Genomic DNA, 19,071 nt, shown 5'->3' with positions numbered 1-19,071 from the left:
TGCACTGGACTGAGAGCACCAAGTTGACACCGGGGCACAGCCTGCTCCCCCGCTGAGCCTGCCGCGGCGCCTGGCACATGGTCGATCACAAATAAATAACGAGCAAACAGCCCATACGTGTGTACTGCATAAGCAGATGCATGTGGAGATAAAGAAAGACCACCCAGACGACAGCAAGCCCAGGCTCTGAGTTCGGAGCTTGGGAGCGCCCCACCCTGAGATCAGCAGGCAGGGGGAGGGGCACAGGTCCCTCCGCTTAGGGTGGTGGGGATGCTGTGGGGAAGGCAGGGGCGGCTGATGGAGAGTCAGGTGTCCGGTGGTTGGTGATAGGACGTGTTTGGCGTCCTCTGGTTGGTCCTGAGTTGGAAGTGGGGGCAGAACACAGAGAAAAAAGCTCTGCAATTGGCTGCAGAGGCGGAGCTGCTGCTTCCAGCTTCTTTGTGGTCCGGAGTCAGTAGCCTTGTGGGACTGGCCCCTGTCCAGACGCCTACACTGAGCCTCTCATGTGGGGAGATGAGCGTCTTTCTCCTGGGACCGAAGGAGGGAACAAGACGGAGAAGGAAGAGGCGGGGCTGCGACTGTGCCCAGCGTACTGCCGGGCTGCCGGGTCCCTGCTCTGGGTACTTCTCTGCTTTCGGGCGTCTCGTCTAGAAGCTGCAGCTTGGCCTGTCTCACCTCTACACAGAGGGGCTGCTGGCGCCTGACGGAAAAAGGTAGGGCCGCTGAATGTCCACGCAGCTGTCAGCCACCAGGGAAGTTTTCAGCAAGGGAGGCCCAATCTCACGAGTCACTCGCACGTCCTGTCCTCGGGGTGTCAATAGGACGTGTGCACAGCCCAGAGCCCAGGATCGACCCTGCGGCGGAACCAGCTCTGCCCTCGGCCGGGGTGCCCTGTGGGGATGACCCCACCTGCCAGGTGCCCGGCCCTGCCCTGCTGGGCCGCCGAAACTCAGAAGAGTCTGGGCAGGGGTTACAGCACCAGCCCCAGGGTCTTACGCTCAAAACATGAAAGCTGTGGTTTCGCAGACGATCTATGGAGATTTGCAATGTCTTTGACAAGATTTAGCATCGAGCTTTTTACTTAGCTGATTGAACTACTATAGAAACAAACTAGATATTGATAATTGCAGGAAAAACTGAAGAAGGGTCTGATCCAAGAGATTTTTAAGCAAATGTCCCGGAATAGAGACCCCCATATATAGAACATTTGAAAATAATGAGCTTCCATCCCAGGGGCAACAGCACCTCCAGGGCACTCATGAGGTCTGCCTGTGACCTTTGCTTTTATTGTGGTAAAATACCTTTAACATAAAGTTGACCATTTTAACAATTTTTTTTTGAGATGGAGTCTCACTCTGTTGCCCAGGCTGGAATGTAGTGGTGTGATCTCGGCTCACTGCAACCTTTGCCTCCAGGGTTCAAGCGATTCTCCTGCCTCAGCCTCCTAAGTAGCTGGGACTACCGGGATGCACCACCACACCCAGCTAATTTTGTATTTTTAGTAGAGACAGGGTTTCACCATGTTGGTCAGGCTGGTTTTGAACTCCCGACCTCAGGTAATCGCCCACCTTGGCCTCCCAAAGTGCTGGGATTACAGGCGTGAGCCACCCCATGCCCGGGCCGTCTTAATGATTTTTAAGTGCACAGGTCAGTGGCATGAAGCACATTCACGTTGCCGTGCAGCCATCACTGCCATCCACCTGCAGAGCTTTACATCTTCCCAAATGTCAACCGGCCCCATCAAACACCAACCCCCACCTGCCCTGGGCACCACCATCGTACTGTCTGTCTCTGTAGGTTTGACGACTCTGGAGACCTCACACGTGGGATCAAACGGTATTTGAGCTTCTGAGAGGGGCTCGTTCCCTCAGCATCAGGTCCTCAGGGTGGCTGTGTGGCCCCTGGGTCCGAGGTGCCTTCCATTTCTGGGACCACTGACGTCCCATTGTGCGTACATATCACATTCGGGGCAGGGGTCATGTAACACATTCGTCCACCCTCTGGCCGTCGTGAAAAACGCTGCTGTGAACGGTGTGACCTGTGACCTGTTAGACACCGGACTTTCCCAGCACAGGCAGCTGCCTGTTCCTGGGCTGAGCAGGGCCCTTTGATCTGTCAGGCACATCGTGCTCCATTTGGAAACGAAGCCTGTGAACTTTGCAAGGACCTACGAAAAGGTTTGAGACCAGAAAAAAATTTTTCCTGGTTCCAAGTACAGGAAAGATACTGCAAGCTTGAAATTTAGAAAAGTTCTAGTTGTGATTCAATTTAGCTTTTATGTAGTTACATTAAAAATTATATTTAAGACGGGCACAGTGGCTCACACCTCTCATTCCAGCTACTCGGGAGGCTGAGCTGGGAGGATCACCTGAGCCCAGGAGGTTGAGTCTGCAGTGAGCTGCGATTGTGCCACTGCACTCCAGCCTGGGCAACAGAGCAAGGCCCCATCTCTAAACAAAGTTATATTGAACAGGCTTGATATGATTGGAAACAGGGCTTACTAAGTTTGCCTGATGGCTGGGGATGTGGCCATTCATCTTGGAAAGTGTCGACATGACTCATTTGTCTGGGGTCAGGGCTCCAGGATCAGGTGCCAGGGGCATCTAAGACCTTTGACCTTTGACTTCCTGTGAGGGAGGTAAAATCAGTTCCTGACCTCGTGGTGCTCACGCAGTGGCAGGAAAGACAGGAGGGAGTGCTGGGAGCGGGGAGGCTGCCCAGCCGCAGGCAGAGGTGTGGGTGCGGGGACTGATCACGTGGGGAGGCCACTGCCGGGGCTCAGCTGCCCCTGCGATGGGCATGGGGGAGGTGGGCATCCATATTTGGGTTCCTCTGGCTGGTCTTGAGTGTGGAGTGGGGTCACTGACTGAGTCCTGATCTGCTGCGGCTTCCCCAGCAGGTGGCTATAGGTTGTGGCCAGAGCTCCACCTTTCCCCTGAGTGCACGCGAGATAACATGAGGAATTTAAGAAAAATAATAATCAAGGGGATTCAAGAGACAGAGACAGAGAGAGACAGAGACAGAGAGAGACAGAGACAGAGAGAGACAGAGACAGGGAGACAGAAAGAGACAGAGAGAGGGAGAGGCAGAGAAAGAGAGGGAGAGACAGAGAGAGACAGACGGAGAGAGGGAGAGACAGAGAGACAGAGACAGAGGGAGAGACAGAGACAGAGAGGCAGAGAGAGACAGAGACAGAAAGAGACAGAGACAGAAAGAGACAGAGAGAGGGAGACAGAGACAGAGAGAGGGAGAGGCAGAGAAAGAGAGGGAGAGACAGAGAGAGACAGAGACGGAGAGAGGGAGAGACAGAGAGACAGAGACAGAGGGAGAGACAGAGACAGAGAGGCAGAGAGAGACAGAGACAGAAAGAGACAGAGACAGAAAGAGACAGAGAGAGGGAGACAGAGGGAGAGACAGAGAGACAGGGAGAGACAGAGGCAGAGACAGAGAGACAGGGAGACCCTGCCCAGCCCCCTGGCCCTAGCGCAGCCCTGAGTGATATGTGGTCTCACAGCACGGGGTGAGGGAGCCGAGGGGGAGGCCAAGGGTGGACTTTCTTTGTGTGGACTTCATATTCGCCCTTCATCTTACATAACGAATGGTTTATCTTGTTATCGTGCATGGTGTTCATTTTCTATTTTCTGGTTATTTATGGCCAGTGTGGAGAAATCGTTTTGAATTTTGTGTTGATCTTGGTCTGGCCTCTCCTGTCAGTTTTCATGAATTGTGGAGTCTACTGGGTTTTCCCGTATGGCTTTGGAACCCAGGAGGAAAAGAGAGACCCTCCTAATGACGTCTCCGCCTGGGCCCGGCTGGAAGAGTCCCGAGGAAGGGTTCCTGTCATCCACCCTGTACTGGGCCGGTCGCTGTGGTGGGGGCAGCGCCGTCCGGGCATGGGGCTCACAATGAGCATAGCTTGGCCGCTGACCACACGCAGGGCAATGCCGCTGCTTCATCTGATGCCCGCACTGCTGCGGGGCTGGGCAGCAAGGGCCCCTCCAGGAGGGACCCCAGGCTGAGGCCCCCGCTCCCGCTCACAGCAGGTGCTCACGTTCAAATTCATCAGGGGAACCACTGTCCGCTGGGAAAAGTCTTCTTCAAAATCCATTTTTCACGTTTTGCCTCGATGTGTTAAAAAAAATCCATTTTCCATGCAGTGCTAAAAAGAAATGAGTCATTATGCCACGAAAAGCCACAGAGGAACCTTAAATGGCACTTAGTGAAATAAGCCAACCCGAAAAGGCTACAGACCGATTCCAACCAAACGGGATTCTGGAGAAGGCAAAACCAAGCTGACAGTGAAAAGCTCGGTGGCTGTCAGCAGCTGGGGAGGGAGGAGCGAATAGACGGGGCACGGGGATGTTTAGGGCATCGGATCGGCTTTGCAGGATACTGAAATGGCAGTTATGAGAACGCACTCACCCAAACCCGCAGCAGGCACACACCGGCTGAGCTGTGGACTCCGGGTGATGATGGCACGTCCCTGTGGGTCTATCAATGGTGGACAGATGTGTCACACGAGTGCAGCATGTTTATAATAGGGGAAACTGAGGCAGGGGAAAGAAGGTGGCATATGAGAATTATATTTTCTGCACTTTTTTTGTAAGCATAAAACTGCTTTAGAAAATAAAGTCCATTAAGTTTTTAAAAGTCTGTCTTGCAAGAGAAAGGATCGGGAAGGGATGGGAAGGGAGTGGGGAGGCCAGCACCAGGTGCCAGGCAGGACAAGGCTGGCGTGGACACACTCCCACACAATCCTGGGTCTCTGCAGGTCCACACACCCGATGGCCGGCCCGGGGTGGACGCTGCTGCTACTGCTGCTGCTGCTGCTGCTGCTGGGGTCCATGGCAGGGTATGGGCCACAGAAGAAGTTGAACCTGTCCCATAAGGTGGGTGCCGGGCACCCCTGATGCCCCTGCAGGCCCCACACGCGCCATAAGGTGGGTGCCGGGCGCCCCTGAGGCCCTTGCAGTCCCCACCCGCGAGGGCTGCCACTTTCCGTCAGGAGGGTCTCAAAGGGACACAAAGCGCCTTCCTGGATGAAACCCTCCCTGAGGCTGCACTCGCTCTCCTGGCCACACGCCCGGCTGTGCTGCCCAAGCACACTTGAGGCTATGGGACGGCGACCCCAGCACCAGGAGCAGCCCTGGGGCCACCACGGCCACCGTCAACCAGGCAGGAGAGAGCGGGGCCACATGGGAGCTGCACCAGTGTGCACTTCTGTTTTTGAAAATATACCCATTTTTCTTTTTTATTTTATTACTTTTTAAATTGTGTGCGTGTGTGTGTAAGAGAGAGAGAGAGAGAGAGATGAAGCCTCGCTCTGTCGCCCAGGCTGGAGTGCAGTGGCACGATCTCAGCTCACTGCAACCTTCACCTTCTGGGTTCAGGCGATTCTCCTGCCTCTGCCTCCCGAGTAGCTGGGATTACAGGCGCGCGCCACCACGCCTGGCTAAATTTTGCATTTTTGGTAGAGATGGGGTTTCACCATGTTGACGAGGCTGTTCTCAAACTCCTGACCTCAGGTGATCCACCGGCCTCACCCTCCCAAAGTGCTGGGATTACAGGCATGAGCCACTGCGCCTGGCCAGAAAATATACCCACTTTTAATAAAAAGTTGTTATTTATGTTAACATGCAATGGGATTACTGTTTTTATCTTAAAATTCTCTCAGTTTTAGGGTGGAATCCAGTAACGTCAATAGACATAGCCTCATCCACAACACTCTGAGCAAACAAGACCAGAGGTCGCGCACACAGCAGCACCTTGCGTGTGTGTGGGTGGGGGGTGGCTACAAGCCGTGGTGCAGGGGGGAGGCCTGGCTCTCAGCTCACCTCTGCCAGCTGTGCAATCCTGGGCACCTTGCTCGCCTTCCCTGAGCCTGTTTCTTCTCCTGTAAAATGCCAGGCACTGGGCTGGCCTGAGAGCTTCACCCATGCTCTGCTGCTGCATCCTTGCCCTCAGTGCCTTGGTTTACCCTCTTCCACGTGGCTCACAGTAGACATTCCCTTTCTCAGCCCCGGGCCCCCAGCACTGACCTGCCAGAACCACGGCAGTCTGGGTTTGTTCCAGAAACTTCTCAGGAAACCCAAGTTTGAAGGATGGTGACACAGGGGAGCCAAGGAGAGGGCAGGCCTTTCCTGAGTGCTGAGTCTGCAGGCCCTGCCCAGGAACAGGTGAGCGAGCTGGTGAGTGGTGTTTCAGGGCATCGGGGAGCCATGCAGGAGACACGAGGAGTGCCAGAGCAACTGCTGTACCATCAACAGCCTGGCCCCACACACGCTCTGCACCCCTAAGACCATCTTCCTGCAGTGCCTGCCCTGGAGGAAGGTGAGGTGCGTGCAGGGGCGGGGGTGGAGGAGCGAGACTGCCTGTGGCCCCCTCCTACCTGCCCCTGAAGAGCCAGGGAGTGGATGGTGGGTGCAGGGATGACGCGTCTCCTGTCCCATAGCCCAATGGGTACAGATGCTCGCACGACTCAGAGTGCCAGAGCAGCTGCTGCGTCCGCAACAACAGCCCGCAGGAGTTGTGCACGCCCCAAAGCGTCTTCCTGCAGTGTGTGCCCTGGCGCAAGGTGAGCTGCGGGCACCCGGGGCAGATGGAGCAGGGGTAGCCGGAGACAGCCCCTCTCCACGACTGCTGCCTGGCTGCCTCCCCAGCCCAACGGCGACTTCTGCAGCAGCCATCAGGAGTGTCACAGCCAGTGCTGCATCCAGCTGAGGGAGTACAGCCCCTTCCGCTGCATTCCCCGGACCGGGATCCTGGCCCAGTGCCTGCCCCTGGTAAGTCCCGGGCGGGGGCTCAGCCTCCAGGCCCTCCCTTGGCCGCCACAGGGAAGTCGCACAGAAACACAGCAACTGGACCGGGACCGCGGCTGTGAGAGGTGGGCTCTGAGCACCCAGGCACCCCTGCTGGGAGAGGCCGGCGCTTCACCGCCCATCTCATAAGGTGGGGGCCGCAGAGAAGGCTCCTGGGCTGGCACTGAGCCCACCAGGCCCCGCAGGGCACGGGTGCCCGGTCAGAGACCGTCAGAGCCTGCGGAGCCGCGGGGAGGGGGACCCAGGACCATCCCCCGTGGGAGCTGGGGTTGGACGTCTTCAGGCCGGAGAGGGAACAGCCTCACCAGCCCTGGAGGAGGAGGGTCCTGGCTTCTCCCCTCCCTCCCCCGACCTCTGCTGTGGCTTTTCCTGACGGGAAATCCATGGGACAAGCCGTGCTCGGTGCAGGCTCCCGCTCTGCTGAGCCCTGGGGCCAGGGGAGGGGGCCAGGTCGCCAGCGGCGCAAACGCGGTGGGGGCGCAAGTGCGTGTTTGCTGGAGCCCAGAGCTCCCGTCTGGGGTGAAAGGGTCGTGGCACCCAGAGGTGAGGTTTGTTCACAGCCCTCGGGTACCACCAGGCGCCCTCGGGTACCACCAGGCGCCCTCGTGGGCGCTGGGAGCAGCTCCGGGCGCCTGGCGCGGCTCGTGGGCGTCCCTCTCGCGAGCTGAGCGTGGGCGTCGGCCTCTGGGTGCTGTCCCGACCCCCACGAGGCTGGTGCCGGGAGATGCTGTGGCCCCGGGTTCCCGTCCTCCTTCCGCGGCCGCTTCGAGGCCCGTCCCCTGCACGTTTCCTCAGCTTTGGCTTCTCCTTCAGTGATGTGAGCTCGAACCTGGGCGCGAGGGACCGGCCTGGGCCCTGGGATGTTCACGCAGGACCGCGTTGCGCGGGGGCTGGTTCCAGCGGAAGCTTCCCTTACGGTTTGTGCTGCTGTTTCTGGGGCTCTGAAAATCTGTGGGAACTGAAAGGCTGTGACCAGCCTGGTGGCGCGAAGTGTCTGTGAGAACAAATCCCAGGCACTGGGGTGTAGCCTGATTGTTAAACATCAATAAAGGCTCCTGGCCGACTGAGCAGCCGTGTCTCACCCCTTCTGTGTTTTGAATAATAAAAGCATAAAATCTGAAGGAAACCTGGAGGTCACAGAGAGGTGGCGTCGGCTGGGTCCGTGCCAGAGCGGCCTTCTGGGAAGCCTGGGGAGGCACAGGCCATGCTGTGGGAGGCGAGGCCAGGGCCAGAGTATCGGGTTTGCTGTCACCTCCCCACACTGCAGGGGCGTCAAATAAAGGGGTGCAAGCCCGTGTGGTCACCGCAGGTAAAAATCGCTCCCTCCCTGTCCCTGGCACGGGCAGTCCTCAGCACATAGGCACCCGCGTCCGGGACGCAAGCCCAGGCCCCTTCCCCTTCCCCAGGCCCTGGCTGAGCTTCCATGGTCACCTCCCCTCCCCTCGGAGGATCCCTGGTTCAGGCCGAGAACTCTTCTGGCCGCTGACTCCCCAGGGCAGCACTGGGCTCTGCGCGGCTGGGGGCGGGTCTCTCTGCCTCGTTCGGTTTCTGATTCCATCTGCCTGACCTTCCCGGAAATGCCTCCATCCCCAGCCCACCCCATCCCTGCCGTTTTCAGCCTGGGCTGCTGTGTATTTGTTTTTGTCTTGTTCCCGAGTCCTTCCCTGGCACGTGGGTCTTCCTTTCCTAACTAATCATAAACGATTTCCATCTCTGTGACTGCCGGACCATCTGAGGCTCCCCCAGGAGAGACCTGCAGGGGCAGGAACACCTGGCCGCGGTCAACTCTGCACAGCCTGAAGTTACATAGTTTTGGCGACTTCCTTAAGAAAAGTCATATGACATTATGAACACAGTGTTAGGCCTAAAACTGAACATACTTACGGTGAAAGACCCAGCACACCATGAGTGTAGGAAGCTCACATAGGCAGCATCACACACAGAATCGGAGGCTCACACAGGCGGCGTCACACACAGAATCGGAGGCTCACACAGGCGGCGTCACACACAGAATCAGAGGCTCACACAGGCGGCGTCACACACAGAATCGGAGGCTCACACAGGCGGCGTCACACACAGAATCGGAGGCTCACACAGGCGGCGTCACACACAGAATCGGAGGCTCACACAGGCGGCGTCACACACAGAATCGGAGGCTCACACAGGCGGCGTCACACACAGAATCGCACAGCACGTTTTTTACCCTAAAGTTCCTGACTGCACAGCCTTGGATCACGTTTACAAAACGGCAATTTGGTAACGTTTTCTATGGGAGAATGGAAAATCAACTTAGTCTTCCCACGGATGGGGCTGAGCGATGTTTTCTGTGGATACAAGTTGCTCAGGTGTGAACCTCCCTGGGCGTGTGTGGGCGACAGACACAGCCTCCATCACGCGATTCCCATAAGAAGTCAAAACAAACCTCCATCCTGATTAGAAGCTGCTGAGAACTGAATTTTCCACGCATACCTCTACCTGTCTGAAGCCGTCCCACACCCCAGTGTCTAGATCCGGAATCTTCAAACAGGATTGCCCAATGCCAGCAGGACACGTCGGAGACACCATCAGGCTCCTACCTTCATGTTGATGTCAGATGGGTGAGCCCAGCACGGGGGCCATCCCTATGTGGGTGAGCTGAGGTTTGCAGGCTGTCCCCACAGAGGTGAGCCAGGGCTCGGGGGCCGACCCCACGGGGGTGAGCCAGGGAGTGGGGGCCGACCCCATGGGGGTGAGCCAGGGAGTGGGGACCGACCCCACGGGGGCGAGCCAGGGCTCGGGGGCCGTCCTCACGGGGGTGACCCAGGGAATGGGGGCCGTCCCCATGGAAGTGAGCCATGGCGCGGGGCCCATTCCCACGGGGGTGAGCCCAGCAACACCAGGGAAAAGCTTCCTCAACTCACCTTCCCCACAGGTAGCTCCCGGCTGCTTGGCGCTCCTCCTCCCGCAGAGATACCGGAAGCACACGGGGGCCGTGCCGAGTAGGGACAGGTCTTGACCCAGTACAGTGAAAAGATCTTATTTTCCCAAACTTCACAGAAACATCAACCGTGTGTTTGTCAGAGTCAGTTGGCGGCAGACGCCACACCAACATGGGGACAGGGGCGTCTACGGTGAGGGGTTGTGCGCTGGTTCCAGGAGGAGCAAAGTGAGCCCAGCAGGCAGCCCCCAGGGTGGATGCAGAAGGGGTTCCCTGCCTGGCGCTCGGGAGACGGTGGGGCCACAGCCACTGATTTGGAGAAGCTCTCTGGGTTGAGGCCGGGGGCCCACAGCGGGGCCAGCAGCACTGTGCGCTAGAGGGAAGCACCTCTGGGTCTACGCGGCCAGGGGAGCCACTGAACCGGGAAGCCCCCGCTGCACCCACCCATGGCAGAGGGGCTGCCGGTGGGCAGTTCCAGAACCATCTATCAGTGTGAGGCTGCCGGCCCCAGGATACCGATGATCCCCCCATCTGTCCAAACCCCTCGAATCCTGTTTGTTGTCATGTTGGGTCAACTTCACTATGAATTTGGAAGTCTAAGAAAATTACAAAACGAAACAACATCGTGAAAGGGCGTCAGACGCCACCGCTTCTGAGTGCGCCTGTCCGTTCCTTCCACATGGGCGCCCTCTCCCGGCCTCTGCCTGGCTGTTCCTTCCGCATGGGCCCCCTCTCCCGGCCGCTGCCTGGCCAGAGTGTGGCCAGGGTCCGCCCCTGCTCCTCAGGGACACAGCCTTGCTGTGGACTGATCGTGTCCTCGCATTCATGGGTTCAGGCCCTGAGCCTCAGCGTGACGGGACTGGAGTGGGGTTCTGGGAGGTGACTGAGGTTTTGATGAGGCCGTGAGGGGCCTTACGAGAAGGGAATTCACGCCCTTGTAATAAGAGGCTCCAGGTGACCATGGTGGTAAACAGTCACGCACTGTGAGAAAAAAGAGACAACAGAGCCGAGCGTGCCAGCTCCCCCTGCCCTGCCATGCCCACCTGCCGGGGGAGGACGCCCTGGGAAGGCAGCTGCCTGCAACCCAGAGGGGGGCCCTCATGGAGCTTGTCCTGCTGGCACCCGGATCTCAATGTCATTATTTTAGCTGCTGGGTGTGTGGTGTTCCGCACGGCAGTCCAAGAAGGCTGAGACGATCCTTGTAGCGAAATCCTGAGAAACCGTTGCTTCCACCCTAACAGTGAGAACAAGCCAGATACGCCGCAACGTGATCGTTGTTATTTTGACCACTCATCCTCAAGTTCTAACAAAATGATAATTTTTAAAAGACAGAACAGAATAGGTAAACATAACCCATCAAACTTGAAAGCATCTGGAAGAAGTGTGGCTCCCAGCACTTCGGGAGGCTGAGGTAGGAGGACTGCTTGAGCCCAGGGGTTTGAGACCACCTTTGGCAACATACCAAGATTCCATCTCTACAAAAAATACAAAACTTAGCTGGGTGTGGTGGTGCATGCTTGTGGTCCCAGCTACTAGGGAGGCTGAGGCAGGAGGATCACTTGAGTCCAGGAGGTCGAGGCTGCAGTGAGCTGTGATTGCATCACTGCCCTCCAGCCTGGGCAACAGAGCAGGAACTTGTCTGAAAAGAAAGGGCCGGGCGTGGTGGCTCATGTCTGTAATCCCAACACTTTGGGAGGCCGAGGTGGGCGGATCACAAGGTCAGGAGATGGAGACCATCCTGGCTAACACAGTGAAACTCCATCTCTACTAAAAATACAAAAACAAAATTAGCTGGGCATGGTGGCGGGCGCCTGTAGTCCCAGCTACTCAGGAGGTTGAGGTGGGAGAATGGTGTGAACCCGGGAGGCAGAGGTTGCAGTGAGCCGAGATCACGCCACTGCACTCCAGCCTGGGCGACAGAAGGAGACTCCATCTCAAAAAAAAAAAAAAAAAAAAAGAACAAGTTGTGTTGGTTTGGTTTTCCGGTTGTTTTTTCTTTTTTCTTTTTCTTTCTTTCTTTCTTTCTTTTTTTTTTTTTTTTGAGACAGAGTCTCGCTCTGTTGCCCAGGCTGGAGTGCAATGGCGCGATCTCGGCTCACTGCAACCTCTGCCTCCTGTGTTCAAGCGATTCTCCTGCCTCAGCCTCCCGAGTAGCTGGGATTACAGGCGCGGGCCACTACGCCCGGCTAATTTTTGCATTTTTTTTCAAGATGAAGCCCCCCCGCACAGTGCTCTAGTCCCCGGAGGGGCCATCAGCTCCAGGGAACGTGTAAAGTGCTTTGTGGCTTTAATAACGCGGTGGGGGAAGGCGGGCGCTTGCTGGTGTGTAATGTCTGCCGGGGGAGATGGAAGTCTGCAATTGCAGGAGGAAACTCGGTCTCCGCACAGCTGCCCAGTGGAGGTTCAGCCGTGAAGGGTCCCGAGAGCCCGCGGTCTGGGCCCAGGTGAGGAAGCGACTGTGAGGGCTGTGGCCACCGTAGGGACGCCAGGAGGCCAGGACCCTCACTCACAGCAGAGGAGGCCAGTCAGCCTGGTCGCTAGGAGGGTTTCTCAGAGCAGGAAGAGCAACAGTGAGGATGCAAACTTGGAAACCTCCTGCATCCTGACTGTGGGTGGAGAGGAGGGGCGCGCGGAGAGGAGCAGGGGCGCGCGGAGAGGAGGGGCGAGCGGAGAGGAGGGGCGCGCGGAGAGGAGGGGCGAGCGGAGAGGAGGGGCGAGCGGAGAGGAGGGGCGCGCGGAGAGGAGCAGGGGCGCGCGGAGAGGAGGGGACGCGCGGAGAGGAGGGGGCGCGCGGAGAGGAGGAGGGGCGCGCGGAGAGGAGGGGGCGCGCGGAGAGGAGGCGGGGCGCGCGGAGAGGAGGGGCGCGCGGAGAGGAGGAGGGGCGCGCGGAGAGGAGGAGGGGCGCGCGGAGAGGAGCAGGGGCGCGCGGAGAGGAGGGGCGCGCGGAGAGGAGGGGCGAGCGGAGAGGAGGAGGGGCGCGCGGAGAGGAGGGGCGCGCGGAGAGGAGGAGGGGCGCGCGGAGAGGAGCAGGGGCGCGCGGAGAGGAGCAGGGGCGCGCGGAGAGGAGGGGCGAGCGGAGAGGAGGGGCGAGCGGAGAGGAGGAGGGGCGCGCGGAGAGGAGGAGGGGCGGGCGGAGAGGAGGGGCGAGCGGAGAGGAGGGGCGAGCGGAGAGGAGGAGGGGCGCGCGGAGAGGAGGGGCGAGCGGAGAGGAGGAGGGGCGCGCGGAGAGGAGGAGGGGCGCGCGGAGAGGAGGCGGGGCGCGCGGAGAGGAGCAGGGGCGCGCGGAGAGGAGGGGCGAGCGGAGAGGAGGAGGGGCGCGCGGAGAGGAGGGGCGCGCGGAGAGGAGGCGGGGCGCGTAGTGAGCACTTCAGTAGACGGTGCGATGGCAGGATGGACAGAGACAGAGAAGGAGAGACACAGAGACAGAGACACAGAGAGATACACAGAGAGAAGGAGAGACACAGAGACAGAGAAGGAGAGGCAGAGACAGAGAAGGAGAGACAGTCAGAGAAGGAGAGACAGAGACACACAAAGACAGAGACAGAGATACACAGAGACAGAGATGGAGAGACAGAGACAGAAGAGACACAGAGACAGAGAGACAGAGATACACAGAGACAGAAGGAGAGACAGAGACAAAGAGACACAGAGACAGGGACACACAGAGACAAGGAGAGACACAGGGACACAGAGAGAAGGAGAGACACAGAGACAGACACATGGAGACAGAGATACACAGAGACAGAGGAGAGACACAGAGACAGAGACACAGAGACACGCAGAGACAGAGGACAGAGACAGAGACACACAAAGAGACATAGAGACAGAGACACACAAAGAGACACAGAGACAGAGACATACAAGGACAGAGACACAAAGAGAGAGACAGAGAGAGTGGGGGGAGAAGAAGAGAAAACCCCAAATTTGTTTTTCACCAAATAGAACAAGGTAGACAAGCGTTGAATTGACAAAAGAAATAGCAATCAGCATTAGAAATGTGACAGGTAAAAAAGCCACAGAAAAAAGGAAGATTTAAAAATTATAAACAGGCCAGGCGCAGTGGCTCACACCTGTAATCCCAGCACTTTGGGAGGCCGAGACAGGCAGATCACGAGGTCAGGAGTTCGAGACCAGCCTGGCCAACATAGTGAAACCCCGTCTCTACTAAAAATACAAAAATTAGCCAAGCATGGTGGTACATGCTTGTAGTCCCAGCTACTCGGAAGGCTGAGGAAGGAGAATCACTTGAACCCGGGAGGCGGAGGTTGTGGTGAGCTGAGATTGCACCACTGCACTTCAGCCTGGGCAGTAGAACAAGACTTCATCTCAAAAAATAAATAAATAAATAAATAAAATAAGCTAACATCACTAGGTGCAGTGGCTCATGCCTGTAATCCCAGCACTTTGGGAGGCTGAGGCGGGTGGATCAACTGAGGTCAGGAATTTGAGATCATCCTGGCCAACATGGCAAAACCCCGTCTGTACTAAAAATACAAAAATTAGACGGGCGTGGTGGTGGGCGCCTGTAATCCCAGCTACTTGGGAGGCTGAGGCAGGAGAATCGCTTGAACCCAGGAGGTGGAGGTTGCAGTGAGCTGAGATCGCACCATTGCACTCCAGCCTGGGCAACAGAGTGAGATTCCGTGTCAAAAAGAAAACAAAAACAAAAACAAAAGCTAACATTGAAGAAAATCTAGTAATTGAATATTAAACTCTTCCGCATACACCTACAGCAAGCATCATACTTTCCTGGAAGCATTAGGAACGTCCCCACCAAAGACAGGAGCAAGGAAAGTCATGCCCGCTGCCCGTCCTACTCACCGTGACCGGGAAGTCCCAGCTGGCGTCAAAAAGCACAGGAGACACGTGAGACCACCACGACGACCGATGAGCCACCCCTGATGGCGCTGGCCCAGTATCTTCCTGGGAAGAAAGAAAAGCACTGGAAACGCTGCTGGAAGGCGTCAGAGGGGTCAGCCGGCCTGTCAGCAAGGGCAGGTGAGGCCATGCTGCCTTGAGGAGCAGCCCTGCTCCCAGGGTTGGGACAGCCACACGCCCTTGCCGTCCAACGTGTGCCCCTCGGGCGCCCTGCTCTATCTTCCTCACCGAGAGCCAGGCTGCTGGAGATATCCTTGTAATGTCACCCTTGGAAACATTCCTGGCTGCTGTGTCAGAGAACACGAGAGGCTCTGGAGAGGATGATGCCAGCGCTGAGTGCTCCGGGCCCAAGGCAGCGCACGCTCCCCAACGGGCCTGTAACCAGAACAGCCATGAGGGCTGGACGCACAGTCCTGCGTGTGCTCGCGGTGTGGGGAGCTGAGTATACCTGGCAAGTGGAGCATCTGCCATAGCCAGGGAGCAAGATACAAACAGAAAACGTCCAGTCACCCGGGCCACAGTGGCCCGCGACAACTCACCACCGTCGTCAAAGCTTGAACACCTGGAAGTAAACTCACCAGGAGCTCCGAGACTTAGATGAGGAAAATCAAAACCTTCACCAGATGACGAAAGAGGAAACGGAATCAGCCCTGAGAGCTGTGTGGTGTTTCAGATCCACATCGATTCTCCCCCAAATTCACTTATAAATCCAGTGCTATCCCAACATAAAGGTCACAGCTAAAAAATTTAACACAATTTGACAAGCTAATTGTCGAGTTCATGGGGTGAGAAATCAGGAACTTTATGCTGCATGTTTTCTTCCCCGATGCCTCTTCCCTTAGCATGAGGTTCCTGTGTCTCGTGAGGACAGATATGGTTGCCCAGGCTGGAGTGCAGTGGTGCAATCCCGGCTCGCTGCAGCCTCCGCTTCCTGGGCTCAAGGGGTCCTCCCGCCTCAGCCTCTCAAGTAGTTGGGACCACAGGCACGTATCTCCATGCCCAGCTAATTTATTTATTTGTAGAGATGGGGTCTTGCTATGTTGCCCAGACTGGTCTCAAACTCCTGGCCTCAAACGAACCTCCCATCCTGGCCTCCCAAAGGGATTACAGGCGTAAGCCGCTGCAGCCAGCCCAGACTCCACCTCTAACTGCTGCGAGGCGGTCATCTGGAGCTTCTCTTTGCTGTCCTTCCAGTTGGGTTCTTTTTGTTGGTGTGCACTCTTATTTTACTTAAATGTTTCCTCTGGTAGCTTCCAAAGAAAATATGCAGGGAATAAATGTGTGCCTGAACCCTTGCCTGCCTGAGACTGCCTGAGAGCATCTTCATCCTTGATAGCTCTTTGCCTGGGAATTCTTTTTTTTTTTTTTTTTTTTGAGATGGAGTCTCACTCTGTCGCCCAGGCTGGAGTGCAGTGGCGGGATTTCGGCTCACTGCAACCTTTGCTTCCTGGGTTCAAGTGATTCTCCTGCCTCAGCCTCCCAAGTAGCTGGGATTACAGGCGCCCGCCACCATGCCCAGCTAATTTTTGTATTTTTAGTAGAGACGGGGTTTCACCATGTTGGCCAGGCTGGTCTAGAACTCCTGACCTCAGGTGATCCACCTGCCTCGGCCTCTCGAAGTGCTGGGATTACAGGCGTGAGCCACCGTGTCCAGCTGCAATTTTTTAAAATTTTAATATATATTTGTTTTTATTTTATTTTATTTGAGACAAGGTCTCGCTCTGTTGCCCAGGCTGGAGTGCAGTGGCACGATCTCGGCTCACTGCAACCTCTGTTTCCCAGGTTCAAGTGATTCTCCTGCCTCAGCCTCCCAAGTAGCTGGGATTACAGGCGCCCACCACCATGCCCAGCTACTTTTTGTATTTTTCGTAGAGATAGGGTTTCGCCATGTTGGCCAGGCTGGACTCGAACTCCTGACCTCAAGTCATCTGCCCGCCTCAGCTTCCCAAAGTGTTGGGATTACAGGCGTGAGCCACCGTGCTCGGCCCCTGAAGTTACTTTGATATTGACATAGTCACTGCAGGTTTTAAAAATTTTTGTTTGCATGGCATAGCTTTTCCTGTCCTTTTGACTTATTGGTGTCCATATCTAAAGTGCATTTCTCATGAGCAGTTTAGCGTTGGGTTTTGCTGTCCTACCCTCCCTGGCAATCTCTGCTCTTAACTGGGGCTGTCTGACCACTTGCTCCGGTGTGGCTGTGGCTGCGTGGAGGCCACGCCTGCTGTCCTGCTCTGTTCCCATTGGTCTCAGTGTGCAGTTGCCACGCCCACCTTCCTGTTCTCTGCTCCCTTTGGTCTCACTATGCAGAGGCCACGCCTGCCATCCTGTTCTCTGCTCCCATTGGTCTCACTGTGTAGAGGCCACGCCCGCCGTCCTGCTCTCTGCTCCCGCTGCTGTCACCGGCTCTCCCTTTCCCATTTCCTCTTCCTTCCTTGGATTCTGTTTGATGATCCTGTTTGATTGCAGTTGTTGGCTTATGAGCCAGAATTTTGTTTTGTTGTTTTAGTGGTTGCTTCAGGGTTCACAGTAAACATCTTTAACTCACACGGTGAACCTTTTTGAGTGGGGCTGCACCTCCACCAGGGCAGATGCTCCGCAGCGCACGTCACCCACCCTCTCCCCGCCGGGGCCATCGCCGCAGGGCGGTTCCCTGGTGACTGCACTCCGCGCGGGTGCCATTGGTATGGTCTGGGTTGAACACTCTGATATTTCACCTGAAAGGCAGGTGCCCCAGCCCCGGGAGGCCCTCCTCAAGCCCTTGCCTGCTCTGGGACCCCTGGCTGCGGGCTGACCCTGAAGGGGCATCTTGAGGCCAGGACTGGACCTGGCAAGGCCCCGGCCGAGGTCACGGCTCGAGTGTGACTGTGAACTTGGACATCTGACCCCAAAGCTCACTCCTGGGACAAACCCAAGAGAATCGGAAACAGACGTCACACAAATTGTTGTCCACAGATGTTCAAAGCAGACTCTTCATAGCTGCTCAGGTGTCCACAAACGATCGACAGATAAGCCCAGCGTGGCCCTCCACACCAGGGAACAGGATTCCACCAGGAAAAGAATGAGGCCCGCACGGCTGCAGGGGGTGAGCCTGGAGAATGGCGATGGGGGACAGAAGCCAGACACACAGCCCCGACTGTGAGCTTCCGTTTCTATGCAGGCCCAGAACAGGCGGGTCCGGAGGCGGGAGGAGGCCCGGGTTGCCAGGGCGGCGGTGGGAGAGATGCTCACGGGGAGGGAGTTCTCTTCCAGGTGGAGAGCGTTTGGAACCAGACGGGAGTGAGGGTCACTCAACATCGCAAATGGACTAAATGCTACCGAATTGTACGCTTTAAAACGGTTCATTTTATGTGATGTGAATTTCAGCTCAATAAAGAAAAAAGATTTAAAATGTGTCTTGAGGAGCCACGAGCATCTGTACCAGGGAGGTGGAATTGTGTCAGGAAGGCTGAGGCCTGGAGATGAGCAAGGGTTGGGGCAAATCCTGGAGATAAATGTGTTATTTCTGCAACTTAAATAGGGGCAGGCTTGTGCTATGAACTCTAAATACTCGCTGCAGCTGCAGGACGGCTGCTGTGCTCCAGAAATCTCAGCCGCATCCAAGACAGGAAGGGGCCGGGAGGGCTGCGTGGTCGGCTGAGCGACGGCACGGAGACGCATCCCCGCCGTGGAACCTGGGAGTGCTGCCACATGTGGTAACAGGAGCTTCGCAGGTGTAAGTAAGTTAAGGGTCTTGAGATGGAGAGGCGAGTCTGCACTTCCAGGAGGCCCTAAGTGCAGTCAGGCGCCGGTAGGATGCAGGCAGTGGGGGCAGGAAGCTCGAATCGGGGACCTGAGGGCGCAGCCAGGAGAGGCGAGAAGAGGCCGCACAGCTTGTCTGCCCGCCCCCTTCCTCCCGCTCGCCTTCCCTTCCTGGACAATTTCGTCCTGAGACCTTTGCATGAGGCTGAGCATCCTCACGGGCCGTGGGGAGCCAGGGGTTGGGAGTACAGCATGGACCCTGCGCCGGCTTGGGGTGGCCGGGGCCGAGCAGAGGGCAGGCGCTGTGCCGGGTGGGCGGCCCCGGGTGGGTGCTGGGCTCAGGTGAGGAGTAGGGGCATCTGCAAGGGGAGCAGGCGGGCTCCCCGCCGTGGGGAAGCCAGTGGATGCCAGGAGCACGGGATGAGCCCTGTGCGGTCGGACTGGAATTCCAGGGTTTTCTTTTTTTTCTTTTTTTGAGATGGAGTCTCGCTCTGTCGCCCAGGCTGGAGTGCAGTGGCGCGATCTCGGCTCACTGCAAGTTCCACCTCCCGTGTTCAAGCCATTCTCCTGCCTCGGCCTCCCCAGTAGCTGGGACCACAGGCGCCCGCCACCACACCCGGATAATTTTTTTTTTTTTTTGTATTTTTAGTGGAGACGGGATTTCACCATGTTGGCCAGGATGGTCTTGATCTCCTGACCTCGTGATCTGCCCGTCTCGGC

General features: G+C 57.0%; 1 protein-coding gene and 2 long non-coding RNA genes across 11 annotated transcripts, besides 4 other annotated features; 2 read left to right on the top strand and 1 right to left on the bottom strand.

Moving 5' to 3' along the window:
• The first annotated feature begins 453 nt into the window (after positions 1–453).
• Positions 454–7,885, top strand: LRCOL1 (leucine rich colipase like 1). 7 transcript variants are annotated; one of them, NM_001195520.2, is made up of 6 exons: positions 454–713; positions 4,772–4,889; positions 6,205–6,330; positions 6,452–6,574; positions 6,660–6,782; positions 7,632–7,885. In NM_001195520.2, exons 2-6 carry the CDS (start codon positions 4,785–4,787, stop codon positions 7,632–7,634), a joined length of 480 nt encoding a protein of 159 aa, NP_001182449.1. In that variant the 5' UTR covers positions 454–713; positions 4,772–4,784; the 3' UTR covers positions 7,635–7,885. The 7 variants fall into 7 exon arrangements, with proteins under 7 accessions (NP_001182449.1, XP_011533082.1, XP_047284001.1 ...); XM_011534780.3 differs by having other exon boundaries at positions 6,660–7,885; XM_047428045.1 differs by lacking the exons at positions 454–713; positions 6,205–6,330 and adding exons at positions 5,675–5,770; positions 6,018–6,176 and having other exon boundaries at positions 4,801–4,889; positions 6,660–7,885.
• Positions 6,779–7,405: an enhancer, noted in NCBI's record as "H3K27ac-H3K4me1 hESC enhancer chr12:133180217-133180843 (GRCh37/hg19 assembly coordinates)". NCBI's record gives its function as "activates a minimal SCP1, AML or CMV promoter by ChIP-STARR-seq in naive H9 embryonic stem cells {active_cell/tissue: H9 hESC(naive)}" and the evidence as "EXISTENCE:reporter gene assay evidence [ECO:0000049][PMID:30033119]".
• Positions 9,035–9,569: an enhancer, noted in NCBI's record as "H3K4me1 hESC enhancer chr12:133178053-133178587 (GRCh37/hg19 assembly coordinates)". NCBI's record gives its function as "activates a minimal SCP1, AML or CMV promoter by ChIP-STARR-seq in naive H9 embryonic stem cells {active_cell/tissue: H9 hESC(naive)}" and the evidence as "EXISTENCE:reporter gene assay evidence [ECO:0000049][PMID:30033119]".
• Positions 9,248–15,183, bottom strand: LOC105370094 (uncharacterized). Of its 3 annotated transcripts, XR_007063548.1 has the most exons (4): positions 15,062–15,183; positions 14,842–14,988; positions 14,557–14,658; positions 10,885–10,969 (listed from the first exon to the last, which is right to left on the bottom strand). It is a non-coding gene; the product is annotated as an uncharacterized LOC105370094 (long non-coding RNA). The 3 variants fall into 3 exon arrangements; XR_001749425.2 differs by lacking the exon at positions 15,062–15,183 and adding an exon at positions 9,248–9,439 and having other exon boundaries at positions 9,719–10,969; positions 14,557–14,851; XR_007063547.1 differs by having other exon boundaries at positions 14,842–15,183.
• Positions 9,570–10,105: an enhancer, noted in NCBI's record as "H3K27ac-H3K4me1 hESC enhancer chr12:133177517-133178052 (GRCh37/hg19 assembly coordinates)". NCBI's record gives its function as "activates a minimal SCP1, AML or CMV promoter by ChIP-STARR-seq in naive H9 embryonic stem cells {active_cell/tissue: H9 hESC(naive)}" and the evidence as "EXISTENCE:reporter gene assay evidence [ECO:0000049][PMID:30033119]".
• Positions 15,184–16,571: 1,388 nt separating the features above from the next.
• On the top strand, positions 16,572–18,005 carry LOC124903062 (uncharacterized). Its single transcript, XR_007063549.1, has 2 exons — positions 16,572–17,695; positions 17,863–18,005. It is a non-coding gene; the product is annotated as an uncharacterized LOC124903062 (long non-coding RNA).
• Positions 16,859–16,908: an enhancer, noted in NCBI's record as "active region_7385". NCBI's record gives its function as "activates an Ori minimal core promoter by ATAC-STARR-seq in GM12878 lymphoblastoid cells {active_cell/tissue: GM12878}" and the evidence as "EXISTENCE:reporter gene assay evidence [ECO:0000049][PMID:35858748]".
• Positions 18,006–19,071: the final 1,066 nt, after the last annotated feature.

This window comes from Homo sapiens, chromosome 12, assembly GCF_000001405.40.
Source record: "Homo sapiens chromosome 12, GRCh38.p14 Primary Assembly".
NCBI classification, from domain to species: Eukaryota; Metazoa; Chordata; class Mammalia; order Primates; family Hominidae; genus Homo; species Homo sapiens.
The sequence above is the reverse complement of the archived record's forward strand: the minus strand, read 5'-3'. Positions and strand labels throughout refer to the sequence as shown.

Bases quoted from the DNA above. Each gene is read 5' to 3' on its own strand.
- LRCOL1 (XM_011534780.3), top strand. From the start codon at position 4,785: ATGGCCGGCCCGGGGTGGACGCTGCTGCTACTGCTGCTGCTGCTGCTG. The intron at 4,890-6,204 runs GTGGGTGCCGGG...GTGGTGTTTCAG, and splicing joins AGTTGAACCTGTCCCATAAG to GGCATCGGGGAGCCATGCAG. The intron at 6,331-6,451 runs GTGAGGTGCGTG...CCTGTCCCATAG, and splicing joins AGTGCCTGCCCTGGAGGAAG to CCCAATGGGTACAGATGCTC.